This window comes from Homo sapiens, chromosome 2 (assembly GCF_000001405.40).
Source record: "Homo sapiens chromosome 2, GRCh38.p14 Primary Assembly".
Taxonomy (NCBI): Eukaryota; Metazoa; Chordata; class Mammalia; order Primates; family Hominidae; genus Homo; species Homo sapiens.
The window spans coordinates 232,536,804-232,555,731 of NC_000002.12; the positions used below are offsets into that span (position 1 = coordinate 232,536,804).

An 18,928-nucleotide genomic window follows, 5' to 3' on the forward strand; every position below is an offset into this window, starting at 1 on the left:
TTTCTAGTAGGAGCATTTTCATGTGACCTGCACATTTAATGGGTGGTGATTTAACCCATTTCCCTCAGGGGGGAATTGGTGACCTCATTAACTCAGATATACAGAAGGTGAGATTTTTAATGTTTAGATGTAACCAAGGAAAAAGAAAAACCATTTAAAACCAAAACTGACCCTAGTAACTTCTGCCTTCCAGCATGAACTATTCACAAAATTCAAGGTACAAATCTTTAATTGTCCTGTCTAAATAGGAAAGCCAGTTTGTTCTCACACCTGTCAGGTGAGCAGGAAATCTGAGACTTCCCCAGGAATAGCCCATCAACTCAGGGAGGGTCCGTCTTGTGCACAGAGAGTCTAGGGCCCTCAGCCACAGTCTTTGCTTCTCTCTGCCTCATGGTGGCGCTGCTGGCAGCAGGTCTTGGTTCAACCACCAGGTGAGTCCTCAGTTCTATTAGGCCCTGCTCAAGTGGCTGTGGACTTCCAGAGAAGACAACCCCAAAATGTCACACAAAACCGGGGGGGTGCCTCCTGCACAGGCTCCCAGGGTCACCACAGTTTCCACCAGAGGCACCCACTCCCCCAGCACGGTGGTGCTGTCAGGACTGGTCCACTCTGACTGACATAGAACTCCATCTTCTGTCCCCAGGAAGCCATGCTCACAGGCACAGCTTTCCGGGAAGCCAGAGAGTGTTCCTTACTCTCTCCAGACCAACAGGGCTACCCTCTCTCTTTCAATGGACAGTGAATCAGTAATACACTGGCCTGCAAGGAACAGAAAGCTGAAGGAATTGTAGCTTAAACACATAAGGTTTCCTTTTTCTCACATAGTAATAATAGGGAGGCGGAGGTGATCATGTTGGCTCGGCTGTCTAACAAAGCTATCAGGGACCCAGGCATTTTGCCATCTGCCCAGCCCTGCCTCCATGGCAAGTTGGCTTCTGTCCTCAGACCTGTTGGCCCCAGTTTGTGAGCTGACAGCCACAGCTGCACACTTAGCACCTATGTTCAGGCAGAAAAGGGCCAGCCATTTCTGACCCCTTTCATCAAGAAGCAAAACTTTTCCATAGGCCGGGCACAGTGGCTCACGCCTGTAATCACAGCACTTTGGGAGGCTGAGGCGGCTGGATCACCTAAGGTCAAGAGTTCAAGACCAGCCTGACGAACATGGTGAAACCCCCTCTCTACTAAAAATACAAAAATTAGATGGGCTTGGTGGCGCCCGCCTGTAATCCCAGCTACTCAGGCGGCTGAGGCAAGAGAATCGCTTGAACCCAGGAGGCAGAGGTTGCAGTGAGCCGAGATCAAGTCATTGTACTCCAGCCTTGGCGACAAGAGTGAAACTCCAACTCAAAGAAAAAAAAAAAAACAACTTTTCCATAAAGCTCCAGTAGACATCCCGCAGGTCAAAACATCACATGGCTAGCCTATCTGAAGGGAGACTAGGAAATGAGTATCTTGCTCTACCAGCCATTATAACAGAGGGTGGCAAAGGAGAAGTAGTGTTAGACAATTCTACAGATGATTTTCTCTGAATGGGTCCTGTCCCTGCACACGTAACCCCTGCAAGAAACTTCCATTCCTCATTGATGATTTACCCTTCGGAGAACACCAAGAAGGCTTCTAGGCCATCTCTCCCAGAGCAGAGAAAGGGAGAAAACAGGAGGGTGGAGGGTAGGGGATGCAGGGACAGGTGGTCCACTGTTTGGCAGTGCTTCCTGATCATGGAGGCCATTGAATTTGGTAAAATGTGGGCATGGAGGAGAGTAAAGAGGTGGAGAGAAACTGGTCTGCAAAAGAGGATAAGAAAACTGCATCTAGGGGGACCAGAGGGCAAAATGGAAAGGCAAGGCTCTCAGAAGTGAGAAGGAAACGAGGGCTTTGTAAATTCCAGGAAAAGTGGGCCACACAGAGAGAAGCTCAGTGGGGGGGATGCCCAGGGAGGGGGAAGCTCAGGAAGGGGGAAGCTCAGGGAGGAGGAAGCTCAGAGAGGAGGAAGCTCAGGGAAAGGGAAGCCCAGTGAGGGGGAAGCTTAGGGAGGGAGAAGCTCAGGGAGGGGGAAGCTCTGGGAGGAGGAAGCTCAGGGAAAGGGAAGCCCAGTGAGGGGGAAGGTCAGCGAGGGGGAAGTTCAGGGAGAGGGATGCTGAGTGAGGGGGATGCCGAGTGAGGGGGAGGCCGAGTGAGGGGGATGCCCAGTGAGGGGGATGCCCAGTGGCAGGCCAAGATGGGTGGATCACTTGAGTTCAGGAGTTCCAAGACTGGCCTGGCCAACATGGTGAAACCCCGTCTCTACTAAAAATACAAAAAAGAAAAAAGAAGAAGAAGAAGAAAAATTAGCCAGGCGTGTTGGCGCATGCCAGTAGTCCCAGCTACTCAGAAGGCTGAAGTAGAAGAATCAAGGTGGAGGTTGTAGTGAGCCAAGATCGCACCACTGCACTCCAGCAAAAAACAAACAAACAAACAAACACAAAAACCCTCACATGCCTACCCAACAGCCTTCACACCCACCCAAATCCTGACTCCCTGGAGGGAGTAGGAGGCAGTCCACCTCAGCCCTCTCTGGAGCCGCTGTCAGGTTCCTCGGCGACCTGCCTTCCCTACCACACCCAGCTGGCCCTGGCTGTCCTTGCCCCCCATGTGGAACATGGAGGTGAGGCTGGGACAACTGAGCCCGAGTTGGGGCTGGAAGGTGGATGTCTCTTTTGGGGCAGACGGGGCCCCTGTCTCCCCTCTCCAGCCCAGGTAACCTGAGCCCAGCATTGTGTCCATCCTGGAACAGCTGACAACGCTGTGGTCAGACAGCTGGTGGGGCTGGGCCAGGCTGGCCGGGCTGGCTGGGCTGGCTGGGGTGGGAGTGTAGGCTGTTATATGACACCCAGAGCCCATCTCTCTCTGCCCCAGACCTTGGAGCTGTTGTCCCACCCCTGTCACTGCAGAGAGCTGAGGCACCATGCATGGGGGCCAGGGGCCGCTGCTCCTCCTGCTGCTGCTGGCTGTCTGCCTGGGTGGGACACAAAGGAATCTCAGCCTGGGGAGTCCCAGAGCTGGGGTCCACAGCCTCAGGGGATGGAGGGTCTGAGGGGTATTGGGGCCTGCCCTGGACCCAGTTCCCTGAGTCCCCACTTCACACCCCCAGGGCCTCCCCGCTCTTTCCACCTCCAAGCTCCTGCTAGGCTCACGCCTGTCTATTGCAGGGGCCCAGGGCCGGAACCAGGAGGAGCGCCTGCTCGCAGACCTGATGCAAAACTACGACCCCAACCTGCGGCCCGCGGAACGAGACTCGGATGTGGTCAATGTCAGCCTGAAGCTAACCCTCACCAACCTCATCTCCCTGGTAAGCCGCAGGACGGAGGAGGGGTCAGCGCACCACGCCCTGGGACCTGCTGGGGATAGCATGGGGTGGCTCCAGCCACCAAGAGGTTGGAGGGCCCTAAATCGGACAGGCTGGGGTCTGGAAAACCCCCATGGTTGTGGGGGGAGTACTATCAAGAGGCTGGGGGATGCTTGGCCCCATTGGTGGCCTGTGGGGACTGGCACTGAAGTCGGGGGCTGAGCCCTCCATACTACACCCTTGCACCCCCAGAACGAGCGAGAGGAAGCCCTCACCACCAATGTCTGGATAGAGATGGTAAGAGGCCACCCTGCCACCCTCCTTCCATCAGGGGTCCCACCCCACCACCCCAAGGCCTCCTGAGAGTTGCCTGCCCCGTTCCTGCCTCTTCTGTCCTCTTGGGCTGGATGCCCACTCCTAGGGCTGTGGTGCAGCAGAGGGCAGAGGCCTAGCAACTGCCCCTCCCCCTGCAGCAGTGGTGCGACTATCGCCTGCGCTGGGATCCGCGAGACTACGAAGGCCTGTGGGTGCTGAGGGTGCCGTCCACCATGGTGTGGCGGCCGGATATCGTGCTGGAGAACAAGTGAGGAGGGGGTGCAGGCAGGGGTGTGGGGGACAAAGGACACAGGGTCTGGGCCCAGCAGAACAAGGCACTCTGGGAAAAGAGAAAGATGAGCAGAGGGTGCAAATCGGGCACCTGTGGGGCTAGGGAAGAACTGGATGGAGCAGGTGCCGAGGGCAGGGCCCTGGGTATGCCCTCTGACCCCAGGGCCAGCAGAGCAGACCCTACGCCAGGCTCCATCTCCTCTGGGCTGGGCCACCTGGGTGGGCTGCTCCCTTCCCTGTAACATGGGGCCGCTGACGGGTCCTATAGAAGCTGGCGAGAGTCAACAAGACAGGCATGAAAAGTGCATCACTCGGGGGCTGGCACATGGTGTGGGCTTAACACATTAGTCGCTATTATGACTATTATTATTATTATTATTATTATGATTAAAACAAGAGAGAGTAAGATAAGCAGAAATTAGGAGGTGGTGCCTGAGGAAGTCTGTCTGGGGCGGGGGGTGGCAGGAGGATTGCTGGGGGGACCTAGTGGTCCGGGTGGGAACCAGTCAGGGGGTGACAGGCTGGTAGGGACTGGTGTCCCCAGGCCCCTATCCACATGGGGCACAGGGGCTGGTCTGGGGCTGGGGTGTCGGGGGCTGAGCCCACAGCCTCGTGGCCTGGCCTGTTCTGTGCATACAGCGTGGACGGTGTCTTCGAGGTGGCCCTCTACTGCAATGTGCTCGTGTCCCCTGACGGCTGTATCTACTGGCTGCCGCCTGCCATCTTCCGTTCCGCCTGCTCTATCTCAGTCACCTACTTCCCCTTCGACTGGCAGAACTGCTCCCTTATCTTCCAGTGAGGCCATTTATTGGGGAGGATTAAGAGAGCTGCTCTCAGAGGGGCCTGGGCAGTGGTGGGGTAAGGCCTGGGCAAGGCTTCTGGCCTTGGCTCTGGCAGCACCTAGAGGCCTGGCTCCATCTCCCCTGGGCCTCTGTGCCCATCTCAGGCTAAGACACCTGAAGGTGCCCAAGCTCTCCCTGCTAAGCCCGAGTCCCCTCACTCATCCTTTACTGCCTCAGTTTCCTCACCTGTGCTCCAAGGGGAGACATTCACGCCTGGGGTGCGTGGGTGAGAAGGCACACATGCACACAAGATGCGTGTCTGCGCACACACGAAACCACTGCACACTCCAGGCCCACAGGGAGGCAGGGCTGTCCTGTGAGAGAGGGGCCCTGGCAGGGAATCCAGCGGAAGCATGTATGCAACCAAGCCACCCCTGGGGGTCTCTGGGTCTGTTTCCTCAAACCTAAGTGTGGGGAGGAGGGCCCGGGGGAGGGTTCTCCTGTACCTTAGAGGAGCAGTCTTTCCATGAGCAAACCTGGCAGGGAGACTCCCCTCTGTAGACACGGGGGTCCTCCTGAGGTAGGCATGTGTTTTCTACATTGCCATCATCAGCCCCTCCTGCCAGACAGCAGTGGGAGAGACAAATGCAGAGTGACCCTGGGCCCATCAGCCAGGTGAGGGCCCTGCAGCCTCCTGGGCCTTCAACTCCATCTTCCTGACCCCAAAGAGCCCTAGGTCCTCCTGCTCTCCATATCTCGCCAGTGGGGTTTTATAGAGAACTCAGAAGCGTGGGGCTGCATTTTGTTGAAGAAAAGCTGCCCACACTTGTCCCCAGAAGGTCATCCCCATGCAGTCGTGGCAGGTCCACCCGCTCACATTTAGCCTCTTTCCTCGGTGACTCCCAGGTCCCAGACTTACAGCACCAATGAGATTGATCTGCAGCTGAGTCAGGAAGATGGCCAGACCATCGAGTGGATTTTCATTGACCCTGAGGCCTTCACAGGTAACCCCCACCCAAGGGCTCCCCAGGCAGCCTCATCCAGGGCTCCTGCTGGACCCAGCTGTGGTCAAGGCTGGACCAAGGTCAAATCCCTCCCATGTAACTCAAAATGAAAACTACAGCAAACCATAAAATATGCTTTTTAAAACGTCCAACAAAGCTCTGACTTTCCTCATGATAATGTCTCCAATTTTAGAAGAGGCTCGAGCATCCAATCTCCCACCCCACTTCTGTCCCTCAAGGGTGCCTCCCCTGCTGGTGCTCCTTAGGGCACATGCTGCCCTTGCAGCTGGGTCACTCGGCTGCAGGGATCTGCCTAGCTCACGCTTCTTGTGCCCACTCCTGCCTGCCTGCCTGCCCGCAGAGAATGGGGAGTGGGCCATCCAGCACCGACCAGCCAAGATGCTCCTGGACCCAGCGGCGCCAGCCCAGGAAGCAGGCCACCAGAAGGTGGTGTTCTACCTGCTCATCCAGCGCAAGCCCCTCTTCTACGTCATCAACATCATCGCCCCCTGTGTGCTCATCTCCTCTGTCGCCATCCTCATCCACTTCCTTCCTGCCAAGGGTACCTGGAGCCTATGGGAAGGAGCCATCCAGTAGCACAGGGGACACCTGGGAGGCCGGGGTGGGCCCTGCCTGGGGAACAGAGTGGCATTACGACCCAGGACAGAGGCAGCGGGCTACTTCTGGGGTAAGGGGTTCCTCTGTGGGTGGGGGAGGTAGGAACCTGCTCTGAGAGCCTCTCGGTCATGGATAGCTGGGGGCCAGAAGTGTACCGTCGCCATCAACGTGCTCCTGGCCCAGACTGTCTTCCTCTTCCTTGTGGCCAAGAAGGTGCCTGAAACCTCCCAGGCGGTGCCACTCATCAGCAAGTAAGGCTGGTCTTCATGTCCACCCGCCTATGCCACTCTCCCTTCTTGGGAGCATGATGGCCTCCTGCATTGCCCTCTTGCCCTCCATCCACCCCCCCCATCCTCAATTCAGGAGGCCTGAGGGGGGGCAGCCACTAAGCGTGGGGGTGGCATCATGGTATGGGCTGCCAGCTCCTGCCCACCCCACCCTGACAGGTACCTGACCTTCCTCCTGGTGGTGACCATCCTCATTGTCGTGAATGCTGTGGTTGTGCTCAATGTCTCCTTGCGGTCTCCACACACACACTCCATGGCCCGAGGGGTCCGCAAGGCAAGGACCCTCCCTGCCCACTTCAACATCCCGCTGCCCACTCCCCTACGCCTCCCTCTCGCACGCCCCGGCAGTACTCACCTGTGGCATTCCACAGCACACCCATCCTGGGCGTATCTGGACGCATGGACCAAAATCGATTACAGTAATACAGGAATGAAATTGCTTCCTAGGTGCCCGGGATATTACAAATGTTAATGTATTTCATCTTCATAAAACCCATATCACCTCCAATTACAGATGAGGACGTTGAGGCGCAGAGAGGTTAAGTAACCTGCCCAAGGAAGTGCACTACAAAGTCGAAAAAGCAGGAGTCTGCCAGGGCAGTCTGATTCCAGTCTGTGTGATCTGTAGCCCACCTGCAGCCTTCAGCTTGGGCCCTTGTTGCACATGCAGATTCCCAGGCCTGTCCCAGGCATTCTAGGCCAGAATAGCATGAGGGCTGGGGGCAGGAATCTGTGTTTATAACAAGTGCCCTGGTGATTCTGATGTGCACTGAAGTTTGGGGACCCAGGCTCGTGTCCAGTATAGAAAGCTTTACCAAGGCCACGTCACTGCCCCGGTATGCTGCCTCCATGGTCCCTAGCAGCACAAGCCCTTCACGCCAACCTCTGGCTTCTGCTCTGAAGCTCGGCCTGCTGCCCTAGTGAAGCCACCCCCTCTCTAGGTGTTCCTGAGGCTCTTGCCCCAGCTGCTGAGGATGCACGTTCGCCCGCTGGCCCCGGCAGCTGTGCAGGACACCCAGTCCCGGCTACAGAATGGCTCCTCGGGATGGTCGATCACAACTGGGGAGGAGGTGGCCCTCTGCCTGCCTCGCAGTGAACTCCTCTTCCAGCAGTGGCAGCGGCAAGGGCTGGTGGCGGCAGCGCTGGAGAAGCTAGGTGAGACACACCAGGTGTGCCTGGGGACAGTCCTCCCCTGGGACCCCAGCTGGGGAGCCAGGCACAGCAGATGAGTGCTGGAGAAGTGCCCAGGTCAGGGAGAGAGGAGCTGGGGTCCCTAAGGAGAGGCCATCTTCTCTGCCTGTTTCTCCTCCATTCTACTCCCAAACCTTACCCTTTCTCTTTATCAGAGAAAGGCCCGGAGTTAGGGCTGAGCCAGTTCTGTGGCAGCCTGAAGCAGGCTGCCCCAGCCATCCAGGCCTGTGTGGAAGCCTGCAACCTCATTGCCTGTGCCCGGCACCAGCAGAGTCACTTTGACAATGTAAGCTGAGTCAGGGTGGGGTGGAGGTGGAGTGAGTACCTGGGCTTGGAACCGTGATAGAGACAGGATGAGTGGGGTTGCCAAGATAGGGCAGTGGGATGGAAAAACATGAGGCCGGGTGCAGTGGGTCACACCTGTAATCCCAGTACTTTGGGAGGCCGAGGCGAGTGGATCACCTGAGGTCAGGAGTTTGAGACCAGCCTGGCCAACATGGCAAAACCCTATCTCTACCAAAAATACCAAAAATACCAAAAATTAGCTGGGTGTGGTGGCGGGCACCTGTATTCCCAGCTACTCAGGAGGCTGAGGCAGGAGAATTGCTTGAACCTGGGAGGCGGAGGTTGCAGTGAGCCAAGCCAAGATCGCACCACTGCACTCTGGCCTGGGTGAAAGAGTGAGACGTGAGACTCCGTCTCAAAAAAAAAAAAAAGGAAAGAAAGAAAGAAAAAGGAACAGGGGCAGGGGGGGCACCTCAGGGCCAGGGGGCCATGGAATTAGCCACCAGTTGGGACCCGGACATAGGTAAGAAGGGCCCCAGGAAATGGAGACATGGGCCTGCTGGAAGCCCAAGGATGAGAACAGGACCCAGGGAAGACCTGGTGCCGCCGCTGGTTATCCCACACCTGCCTCCCACCCTCAGGGGAATGAGGAGTGGTTCCTGGTGGGCCGAGTGCTGGACCGCGTCTGCTTCCTGGCCATGCTCTCGCTCTTCATCTGTGGCACAGCTGGCATCTTCCTCATGGCCCACTACAACCGGGTGCCGGCCCTGCCATTCCCTGGAGATCCACGCCCCTACCTGCCCTCACCAGACTGAGCCAACCAACCACTGTGGGGCATGTGGGAGTCACACACGTGGGTCACACTGAGTCTTATCAGCCACGTTCTCCTACTGAGGTCCTAAGTGTGCTCTTTGGGAAGTGCCCTTCAGGACTGTGTGAGCCAAACAGCCCTGAGAAAAGCTGGGGAAACAGTCTGAGCTGGAGTCCGAGAGTGGTTGGGGGTGGGCCGTGGCTAGTGTCCTGCTGCAGTCAGCACACACGTGGGATTGGCTAGCTCATCCTGGCACCAGCCACCCCTCCACTCAGTGCACTCCCCTCACTTAGGCAAAGCATTATTCATTCCCATCAGTCTGAAGCCCGAAGGACTGTTTTGTATAATACCTTCGGACTTGGGACTGGCTCCCCTTTTACAAGTTCTCCCTGAAAGAGGGCAGTCACAAGAGGTGTGAAGAGTAGCAGCCGATGCTCTCTCCAAAGCAGGGCAGCAGCCCATACCAGCTGGCATCTCCCCCCCGTGCCTTCTGGGTACAATAAGCACCCAATTCTCAACAGCCCCAGTGGCCTTTCCATTCATGTGCATTTTTCTGCCACTGACCACAAGACGATTTCCTGAGTTTTGTAATCCTCTTTTTTTTTTTTTTTTTTTTAGTTTTTGATGTGTTGTTGTTGTTTTGTTTAGTTTTGAGATAGAGCCTCACTCTTGTCATGCAAGTTGGAGTGGAGTGGCATGATCATGGCTCACTGCAGCCTCAACCTCCAGGGCTCAAGCAATGCTCCTGCCTCAGCCTCCCAAGTAGCTGGCACCACAGGCATGCACCACTACACCCAGCTACTTTTAAATTTTTAGTAGAGATGAGGTTTTGCTATGTTGCCTAGGTTGGTCTTGAACTCCTGAGCTCAAGTGATCCTCCCACTTGAGTCTTGGGATTACAGGCATAAGCCACTGTACCTGGCCTCCTTTTTAATTAAGAGCTCCTCACAGCAGTATGGATAAGCAAGAGTCATTATTCCCCATGTTATATAGGCAAATTGAGCCTAGAGTAAGCGGGACTCCACACAACAGTGGTGGTTAAACAAGGTTTGAAGTCCAGAATTCCTGACTCTGACCCAATCTGACACTCTAAGATTCTACGGCCTGAAAAACAGGCCCTTCTTCCCAAAGGATGGTTAAGACAAGGAAGAGCTAGGCAAGAGGAGGTGTGGAGTTAACAGAGAGCCACTGAGCTCTTCATTCCAGGAGGAGACTTTGACTGGCCTCCCTTGACCCCACTAATCAGGTAGTAAGGCTGGGGTCTTCCTGGGGGAGAGGCAAGGTCCTGCTCTGAGATTACAGCCGGCACACGAGTTTGGCTGGTAACCAGGGGACACCCTTGGGCAAGTCACCTATGCTCCCTGAGGCTGTTCCCTCATCTGTAAATAAGGTGCAAAAAATAATCCATTCCTGGCCAGGTGTGGTGGCTCACACCTGCAATCCCAGCACCTTGGGAGGACAAGGTGGGTGGACTGCTTGAGCTCAGGAGCCCACGAACCCAGGAACCCAGCCTGGGCAACATGGGGACACCCGGCCTCTACCAAAAAATACAAAACTTAGCTGGGCGTGGTGATGCATGCCTGTAGTCCCAGTTACTCGGGAGGCTGAGGTGGGAGGATCGCTTGAGCCCAGGAGGTCTAGGCTGCAGTGAGCTGTGATCATGTGACTGCACTCCAGCCTGATGACACAGTAAGACCCTGTCTCAAAAAAAATAAAAAAATTACAAAACTGAAAAAAGAAAAGTGAAAGTGCCACATAAAGGCCTGACGACAGGATATGCTGGCAGGAGGGGACCTTGGAAATATGCCCTCCCTCCAAGCACAGGATTGCTGTCTTTGGGATTCAATCACCAGCAAGTTCGTATTATTTACTCCAGTGTGAGTCTGTGTCTGTGCATGCACAGTGTGTTTGAAGCAAGAGCAGAGTCAGAGCTATAGAGAACTAGAGGAGTTAGGGAGAGTGGGGGAGAACTTCAATCAGGGAGGGAATCTGATGACAGTGGGGCCATTTCCGGTTCCCACCAGCCCCTTACTAGTTGTGTATCTGGCACAAGTCTCTCAACCTCTCTGAAAGCCTCAGAGGGCAGAGGATTAGCTCCTTGTACACAATAAACACTCAAATGTTAACATTAGCTGCCATTACTATAAGTTACTGTCTCATGGGATCCATACAGCAACCTAAGGAGGTAGGTCGAGGCATACCTCAAAGACATTGCAGGTTCAGTTCCAGACCAACACAAGAAAGCAAGTCACATGAATGTTTTTGGTTTCCCAATGCATATAAAAGTTATGTTTACACTATACTGTAGACCAGCAAGAGTGCAATAGCATTGTCTAATAAAACAATATACATACCTAAATTTAAAAATACTTTATTGCTAAAAAATGCTGATTATCAATCTGAGCCTTCGGTGAGTCGTACTCTTTTTGCTGGTGGAGGGTCTTGCCTCGAGGTTGATGGTTGCTGACTGGTCAGGGTGGTGGCTGCTGAAGGTTGGGGTGGCTGTGGCAATTTCCTAAAATAAGACATCGGTGAAGCTTTTCGCATGAGTTGACTCTTCCTTTCATGAAAGATTTCTCTGTAGCATGCGATGCTGTTTGATAGCATTTTGCCCACAGTAGAGCTTCTTTCAAAATTGGAGTCAATCCTCTCAAACCCTGCTGCTGCTTTATCAACTAAGTTTATGTAATATTCTAAATCCTTTGTTGTCATTTCAACAATGTTCACAGCATCTTCACCAGGTGTAGATTCCATCTCAAGAAACCACTTTCTTTGCGCATCCATAAGAAACAACTCCTCATCTGTTAAAGTTTTATCATGAGATTGCAGCAATTCAGTTACATCTTCAGGCTCTACTTCTAATTCTAGTTCTTTTGCTATTTCCACCACATCTGCACTTACTTCCTCCACTGAAGTCTTGAACCCCTCATAGTCATCAATGAGGGTGGGAATCAACTTCTTCCAAACTCCTGTTAATGTTGACAATTTGACCTCCTCCCATGAATCACGAATGTTTTTAATGGCATCTAAAATGGTGAATCCTTTCCAGAAGGTTTTCAATTTGCTTTGCCCAGATCCATCAGAGACATCACTATCCATGGCAGCTAGAGCCTTATGAAATGTATTTCTCAAATAATAAGACTTGAAGGTCGAAATTACCCCTTGATCCATGGGCTGCAGAATGGATGTTGTGTTAGCAGGCATGAAAATAACATTAATCTCCTCGTATATCTCCATCAGAGCTCTTGGATGACTAGGGGCATTGTCAATGAGCAGTAATATTTTGAAAGGAATCTTCTTTTCTGAGCAGTAGGTCTCAACAGTGGGTTTAAAATATTCAGTAAACCACGCTGTAAACAGATGTGCTGTCATCCGGGCTTTGCTGTTCCATTTATATAGCACGGGTAGAGTAGATTTAGTATAATTCTTAAGGGCCCTAGGATTTTCAGAATGGTAAATAAGCATTGGCTTCAACTTAAAGTCACCAGCTGCATTAGCCCCTAACAAGAGAGTCAGCCTGTCCTTTGAAGCTTTGAAGCCAGGCACTGACTTCTCCTCTCTAGCTATGAAAGTTCTAGATGGCATCTTCTTCCAATAGAAGGCTGTTTCATCTACATTGAAAATCTGTTGTTTAGTGTAGCCACCTTCGTCAATGATCTTAGCTAAAGCTTCTGGATAACTTGCTGCAGCTTCTACATCAGCACTTGCTGCTTCACCTTGTGCTTTTATGTTATGGAAATGGCTTCTTTCCTTAAACCTCATGAACCAACCTCTGCTAGCTTCAAACTTTTCTTCTGCAGCTTCCACACCTCTCTCAGCTTTCATAGAGTTGAAGAGAGTTAGGGCTTTGTTCTGGATTAGGCTTTGGCTTAAGGGAATGTTGCGGCTGGTCTGATCTTCTATCCAGACCACTAAAACCTTCTCCATATCAGCAATAAGGCTGTTTCGCTTTCTTATCATTCGTGTGTTCATTGGAGTAGCACTTTTAACTTCCTTCAAGAACTTTTCCTTTGCATTTACAACTTGGCTAACTGTTTGCCGCAGGAGGCCTAGCCTTCGGCCTATCTCGGCTTTTGACATACCTTCCTCACTCAGTTTAATCATTTCTAGTTTTTGATTTAAAGTGAGAGATGTGCGACTCTTCCTTTCACTTGAGCACTTAGAGGCCATTGCAGAGTCATTAATTCGCCTAATCTCAATATTGTTGTGTCTCAGGGAATAGGGAGGCCCAAGAAGAGGGAGAGAGATGGGGAACGGTCTGTGGGTGGAGCGGTCAGAACACACACAACATTAAGTTCCACGTCTTATAAAAGACGCTGTATGTGGCACCCCAAAACAATGACAATAGCAACATCAAAGATCACTGATCATAGATCACCATAACAGACACAGAAATCATGAAAAAGTTTTAAATATTTTGAGAATTACCAAAATGTAACACAGAGACACCAAGTGAGCACATGCTGTTGGAAAAATGGCGCTGATACAATTGCTGGACTCAGGGCTGCCACAAACCCTCCATTTGTTTTCAGAATGCCCTATCTGCGAAGCGTAATAAAACGAGGTATGCCATAGTACAGTGGCGCCGCGACCGACAAAGGAAAGCCTCCGGGAGGTCAAAAGAGATACCAGAGAGTGCGTCCCGCACTGGAGGAAGAGGAAGGTTTTTACCAAGCAGCGAGTCCAGAGCCCGCGCCGTCAACGACGCGGTGCTGCCTTTTTTCCGAGCCGCTGCGGGAGGGGGCCAGGACACGCTCCCTTAGGAGAGCGGGCGGGTCACAAGGACCTGGACAGAGGCAGAACTGAGGCCAGCAGCCAGCTCCGCCGCTGAGTCCAGCCCTCTGCGCAGCCGCCCTGAGCTGGCGTCCCGAGATAGCCGCTTCCAAACCGGGCCTGCGCGCCGACGTTCCGCTGCGCCCCGCGCAAAACCGGAAGTACCCGGGCCCAAGGCTGAGGGACCCGGTGGAGCGGAAGTCACTCCCTGAGGCAGTGGCGACAGCGGCGGCGAGAGGATGAACAACAAGTTCGACGCGTGAGTGGCTCGTGGCCGCCCCCGGGGCCCCTTCCCCGAACAGTTCCCCCGCGCCCGCCCCCGCTGGGGCTGGGGCGGCGCAAACCCTGCGGCACCGGCTTCCCTGCTGGGATCCGGCTGCGGCCGGACCTGGCCTGGACTGGCGGGGAGGAGGGGGCTGGGGAGCAATGGATACCGGAGTCCCGGAGACCCCAGGGCCGTCCGAACCGAGGGCGAAGAGCTGGGCCCGGGGGAGGGGTGGCTGTGCCGCCCGGTAGGGGGAGATTTTCGGACGCCCCGCCCTGGTGGATGCGGATTGCCTGCGACGTGGAGGGGTGGGGACCTCGGCGGTTTGGGTGTTTCCGCAGTCTGGCAGCGCTGCCTCTGAATCCAGCTTTCCCCACACACTCCCTCTCCCCTCTGAGCCTCAGTTTTCTCATCTGCAGAGTGGGGACGGTAACACCCTTTGTCGTAGAGTTTGGAGGATGCAATGAGGTAATGTGGTTGCTGCCCTCGACGCGGTGGAAGGCTGGCTTAGGAATTATCTTCCTGAGACTCTTCCTACTTTCTTTCTCCTCCCCTTCCCGTTCCCGTCTTCCAACACACTCGCCAAGACCTAAGTATACTTGTTGCCCTCTCCTGCCCGCTCCGGTTTCTAGTTTCAGCATCAAACAGTTTGGAGGTACAGAGAGAAAATGCAGAAGTATCTTTACTTATCCCCCTCCAAGGATTGTATCTTGAGGTAGAATATGTTCCTTCCTCTCTTCTAGTAGTCTAGTAAATCGACTGTCTCTTCATCCGAAAACCTGGATTTCTAGTCCCAGATTCACCACTTACCATCTGTTTGACTGTAGAAAAGTTACCCAGCCTCTAAGCCATTGTTGCTCAAACCACATTAGTGGCTAGGACCCTGCTGCCACGCCGGGGTGTGATAAGGGTCAGATCACACTCAGCGATGCTTAAAGATGCTTGTGAACATTGCTAACTATTGCGATATAAACGTAAAGTGGAATTACTATTAGTTTAGGTTGTGACCTGGTGCTTTTGATGGGAAATTGGGGTGTTTCCAATACAGAGAGTACTGTGCAAATTCAGGGAATACTGGATTTCCAACACTCCAGGCAGGTAGGTCCTCAGGAATGTTTTCTGGTTGCTGAGAGGTCTCTGCTACTTGAGAAAGTCTTTGCCCGACCTCTTCTCTATCCTGCTGTTTAACTGAGCCTGTCCCTCTACGAACCTCTCCCCCGCTGCCGCCCCATTTCATCTCTATTGTAAACCCTGCAACAACTAGCTCCAGATCCAAATCCTGCCTCAGTGGAGCTTTCTGGAACCCTTATACCCCTTCCTCCACTGATTTGAACAAATCAAATGTCATCCTAAGAAGACATCTTATGGGTCATCTAGCTCAAGCCTACCCAAATCATTTGGGAGTCTGCAGTAAGAATGGTAATAATGGACTTCCACAGGGATCTTGCTAGGTATTTTTCATATATATATATATTTTTTGAGACAGGGTCTCGCTGTGTCACCCTGGCTGGAGTGCAGTGGTGTCATCACAGCTCACTGCCCACTCAACCTCCCGGGCACCAGCAATCCTCCCATCTCAGCCTCCAGAGTAGCCGGACTACAGGCATGTGCCACCCTACCTTGCTAATTTTTTTGTATTTTTTGTAGAGACGGGGTTTCGCCATGTTGCCCAGGCCGATCTCGAACTCGGGCTCAAGAGATCCACCCACCTTGCCTCCTAAAGTGCTGGGATTACAGGCATGAGCCACCACCCCCAGCCTCATATGTTATTTCTACTCTAACAATTCTGTGAAGGGGATCTTGTTGTCTCCTTTTACAGATGAGGAAAGTGAGACTCTGAGGTTAACTAATTCCCGACACAAAGGAAGGGCTATCCCAGGTTTGTTGTGTAACCTTGGTTCAAGCACCTCTTGAGAAAAATTAAACTTGCCCTCTTTTTTTTTCTTACCTCTTCTACGATTGAAGAACCTGGGTCATTTTAATTACTTTGAATTATTAACTATTGTATTGAGCCAGAATCTTTTAACATCTGCCCTCTAGCATTGCAGGAAAAAAAAAGAAAAACAAGCTTTCTTTCATTTGAAATTAGCAGTTGAAAACAGCACTCCTGCCCCTAGTTTTATTTTTTTATGTTGTTTTTCATTCAGAAATTCTGCGGTGTTTAGGCCATTGCTGCATATTTGGAGTCTTTACCACATTGCTCTCTCTAGTAATCTGCACTTTTTACCACATTGCTCTTAAGGACATGTTCCAGTTTGCCAGAATCCTTCCAGATGTCCAGTGGCTGGAGCTGAGTACAGTAGTATATAATCTAATGGGCTCATATTAAAGATTAGCTCTAATCTCCGTTACTGTATGGACTCAACTTCTCTGAATGAAACCTTTGATTGTAATTGCTTTTGTGGAGAAGGGGTAGACCTATCAAGTCCTTAGATCTCATTGCCATTGATCCTATTGATAACGTAAAACCGTAAGATGCTTTCACAAAAACTGCAGTCCTGACTTAAACATAGTTTTCAGATCTACACAACTGTACTTGATTTTGTCCGTATTCTACATCATTTGCTTTTTATTCTATATCGTTAACTTTGGGCCCATTCCTAACTATTGTCTAAACCACTTATTTGGCACTCATTGCTTTGATTCTATAGACCCATTCATTAAACGGAGATTTTTTTTTATGCCACTGTCTGATGGTGAGGGTATAAAGATGAATTGAACCAAGGTCCTGCCCACAAGGTATTGGTCTAGTTCAGAGGGTGAGGAAATACGTGGGCAGAAGCTTAGCAAGCTAACTAAAGTGCCTCTCAGTCTGGACAGTCTCAGAGTTGCTAACTGCCTGAGTTTAGGGAGCACTGATTTTTCAGTCTGAGTTGTATCTTGACTCAAATCCAGCTTGAAGCTGGGAAGAGTAGCTTGTAAGATTTGCCTTAAATGTAGGCTTAGAGGGCAGAGTGGTTGGTTAGTTCCACTCTCAGGTAATAAAAGCACCAGATATAGGTCCATTAGGGTTCCCATTTACTGTCTTAGAAAGGAGCCCTAAGTGGTCCAGGGATCACAGGAGCATTGTTTCTTCTCTGACAATTATTTTTGTTTCCTGGTAGTGATCAGCAGCAAACCACTAAAAAGAAAGGAAGGTATATACTTTTCTTGGGTCTAGCAAAAACAAGATGCTGGGATGACTGTACCCCTCTTCAACCAAGATCTAAATGCAAGGGACCCCAGAGGCTATAGTGGGAGTTGGAAGCTAAGAAGGGAGGAAAAGGGTTTGCATCCCAAGGGTGTGCCCTGAAGAAGAGAGTTGTCCTGGGCCTAAGCAGAAGAACCTTTGAGATGTTTTTGATCAGGAGACAGAACTGGCCATGAGAGTATAGCTGGAACAAGTACAAACATTTATATGGGCAAGTTCAGAAGAGGAGACCCCAACTCAGCCTAGGTTGGAAGAGGTTAGGAAATGTTGCCAAGAGAAAGTGGCCCTCAATCTGAGTCCTGTAGGACAAGTTAACTAGGCAAAGAAGGACTTCTTGAGGAGAGACCACATGATGAGCATAACAGAAGGATAAAATGGGGGCACCAAAATTAGGGTGATACAACTGGAGTGAAAAGAGTTTGTTGGGACCAGGAAGGAGATGATATTGGGACATGTGAGCAGAGCAGGGGCCTTTGCACCATGCTGAGGCGTGGGTATATCTGTGTACCTTTTCTCCTCAGCTAGGTTCTTGGGGACAAGCACTCTGGTAGCTCATACACACCATAGATGCTTGGTAGATGTTGGTAATTTTTAATCTGTAGATCTTGTGTGCTAGACAGGCTCCTTTTGAAAAGGAAACCAAATGTTTAATAAAGGGGAAGTTTAATAAAGGGGAAGGGAATATCATAAGTACAGATGATGGTCTCCTGGAAGTCCAGGGAGGCTGAATAAAACCAGAGAGATGTTAGCATTAGCAACAAAATGAAACTCCCCTCCATTTTCTCTGCTCATCTGCTCCATTCTCTTATCTCATACTGGCTTTCTCTGCTTTTGCTCATTGTCTTAATTCTCTCAGGGCTTTTCTTGCATGGGGCCCATATGGCTGCCCCAGCTCCTGAGTCTATGATCTTTCATCTCCTGGATGAAATGCTGAGGGGAGGAATCTGCTCATATTTTTGAGCAAGGCTCTGGGGCATAGGTTATTGCCCAGGCTGGACTACCCTTTGGTCAGGTGCACTTCCTAGTTGTGTCTTGACCAGGGTAGGGATGGGAAGGTTCATGGCACAGGGCATAACCTCCTGGGTATATCCTACAGCTAGGGCTGTGAAATGGGCAGAGCAGGCACCCCAACATGTGACTAGCTCATTCATTCTAATATTTATTGGATACTTTTAATGTACTAGGCACTGGGGATTCGTGGGCAAAAAAAACCAGACCACAAATACAAAGTACCCTGCAACATGTTTATGTGTCAGCATAGGGTAGTATCTGAATTATAACTGGAGCATTTCTAGTACCATTCTTGAGAACTGCCTAATTTCGTTTGACCACACATATAGTTATTGGGGCGAGAAAGATGATTGGAGAGAAGATCTGTGATGAATTAATGGTCCAGCCCTAAAATAAATGGCTTTCTTATTGTCTTTGCAAACTCACCTTCCATTTATCTTTTTGTCTGGATCCGGTGATTTTAGGTGTACCTGAAAGCCTTGGGGTAGTTTCACTGCTCATGAAAGGGTAATCCCTAAAGTTCGTTTGACTCTGTGCTTATGAAGCAAGAACACATTTATTCTTTCTTTCAGTCATTTATTTTTCCTTTTGGTTTACCATTTATTCAGCATCTTCTAGTGCCGCATGTTAAGGCAACATCTTGCCCTGGGTGCTGGAGATACCGAGATGAAATAAGACACTGCTCTAAGGGAACTCTCTCTCTAGTAGGGAAAGCAGACATGGGAGGAATGGTGTGACAGACCGAAGGGGTGGTGTTTGCAAATGGCACCGATACGGCAA

At 51.6% G+C, this 18,928-nt stretch overlaps 3 protein-coding genes and 1 non-coding gene across 10 annotated transcripts in view, besides 2 other annotated features; 2 read left to right on the plus strand and 2 right to left on the minus strand.

Annotated features, from left to right (window-relative positions):
* On the plus strand, positions 2,889–11,312 carry CHRNG (cholinergic receptor nicotinic gamma subunit). The gene is made up of 12 exons (NM_005199.5): positions 2,889–2,999; positions 3,189–3,328; positions 3,578–3,622; positions 3,799–3,908; positions 4,571–4,726; positions 5,620–5,717; positions 6,079–6,279; positions 6,472–6,586; positions 6,782–6,896; positions 7,564–7,777; positions 7,969–8,099; positions 8,740–11,312. The coding sequence occupies exons 1-12, from the start codon at positions 2,945–2,947 to the stop codon at positions 8,911–8,913; spliced, it is 1,554 nt and encodes a 517-aa protein (NP_005190.4). The 5' UTR covers positions 2,889–2,944; the 3' UTR covers positions 8,914–11,312.
* Positions 4,711–4,770: an enhancer, noted in NCBI's record as "active region_17323". NCBI's record gives its function as "activates an Ori minimal core promoter by ATAC-STARR-seq in GM12878 lymphoblastoid cells {active_cell/tissue: GM12878}" and the evidence as "EXISTENCE:reporter gene assay evidence [ECO:0000049][PMID:35858748]".
* Positions 7,080–13,754, minus strand: TIGD1 (tigger transposable element derived 1). The gene has a single exon (NM_145702.4). It carries the CDS (start codon positions 13,077–13,079, stop codon positions 11,304–11,306), a length of 1,776 nt encoding a protein of 591 aa, NP_663748.1. The 5' UTR covers positions 13,080–13,754; the 3' UTR covers positions 7,080–11,303.
* MIR5001 (microRNA 5001) lies at positions 13,671–13,770 on the minus strand. The gene has a single exon (NR_049797.1). It is a non-coding gene; the product is annotated as a microRNA 5001 (primary transcript).
* Positions 13,886–18,928, plus strand: part of EIF4E2 (eukaryotic translation initiation factor 4E family member 2) — a 32,956-nt gene continuing 27,913 nt past the window's right edge. For 6 of the 7 annotated variants that reach the window (NM_001282958.2, NM_001276336.2, NM_001330203.2 and 3 more), the window contains exon 1: positions 13,886–13,941. In NM_001282958.2, coding sequence (NP_001269887.1) covers positions 13,922–13,941 — 20 coding nt within the window. In that variant the 5' untranslated portion in view covers positions 13,886–13,921. Of the gene's footprint in view, positions 13,942–14,263; positions 14,416–18,928 lie in introns of those variants that run through there. The other variant, NM_001330202.2, reaches the window with a different exon arrangement.
* Positions 13,897–14,266: a silencer, noted in NCBI's record as "silent region_12460". NCBI's record gives its function as "represses an Ori minimal core promoter by ATAC-STARR-seq in GM12878 lymphoblastoid cells {active_cell/tissue: GM12878}" and the evidence as "EXISTENCE:reporter gene assay evidence [ECO:0000049][PMID:35858748]".

Bases quoted from the DNA above. Each gene is read 5' to 3' on its own strand.
- CHRNG (NM_005199.5), top strand. From the start codon at position 2,945: ATGCATGGGGGCCAGGGGCCGCTGCTCCTCCTGCTGCTGCTGGCTGTC. The intron at 3,909-4,570 runs GTGAGGAGGGGG...CTGTGCATACAG, and splicing joins GATATCGTGCTGGAGAACAA to CGTGGACGGTGTCTTCGAGG. The intron at 6,897-7,563 runs GCAAGGACCCTC...CCCCCTCTCTAG, and splicing joins TGGCCCGAGGGGTCCGCAAG to GTGTTCCTGAGGCTCTTGCC.
- TIGD1 (NM_145702.4), bottom strand. From the start codon at position 13,079: ATGGCCTCTAAGTGCTCAAGTGAAAGGAAGAGTCGCACATCTCTCACT.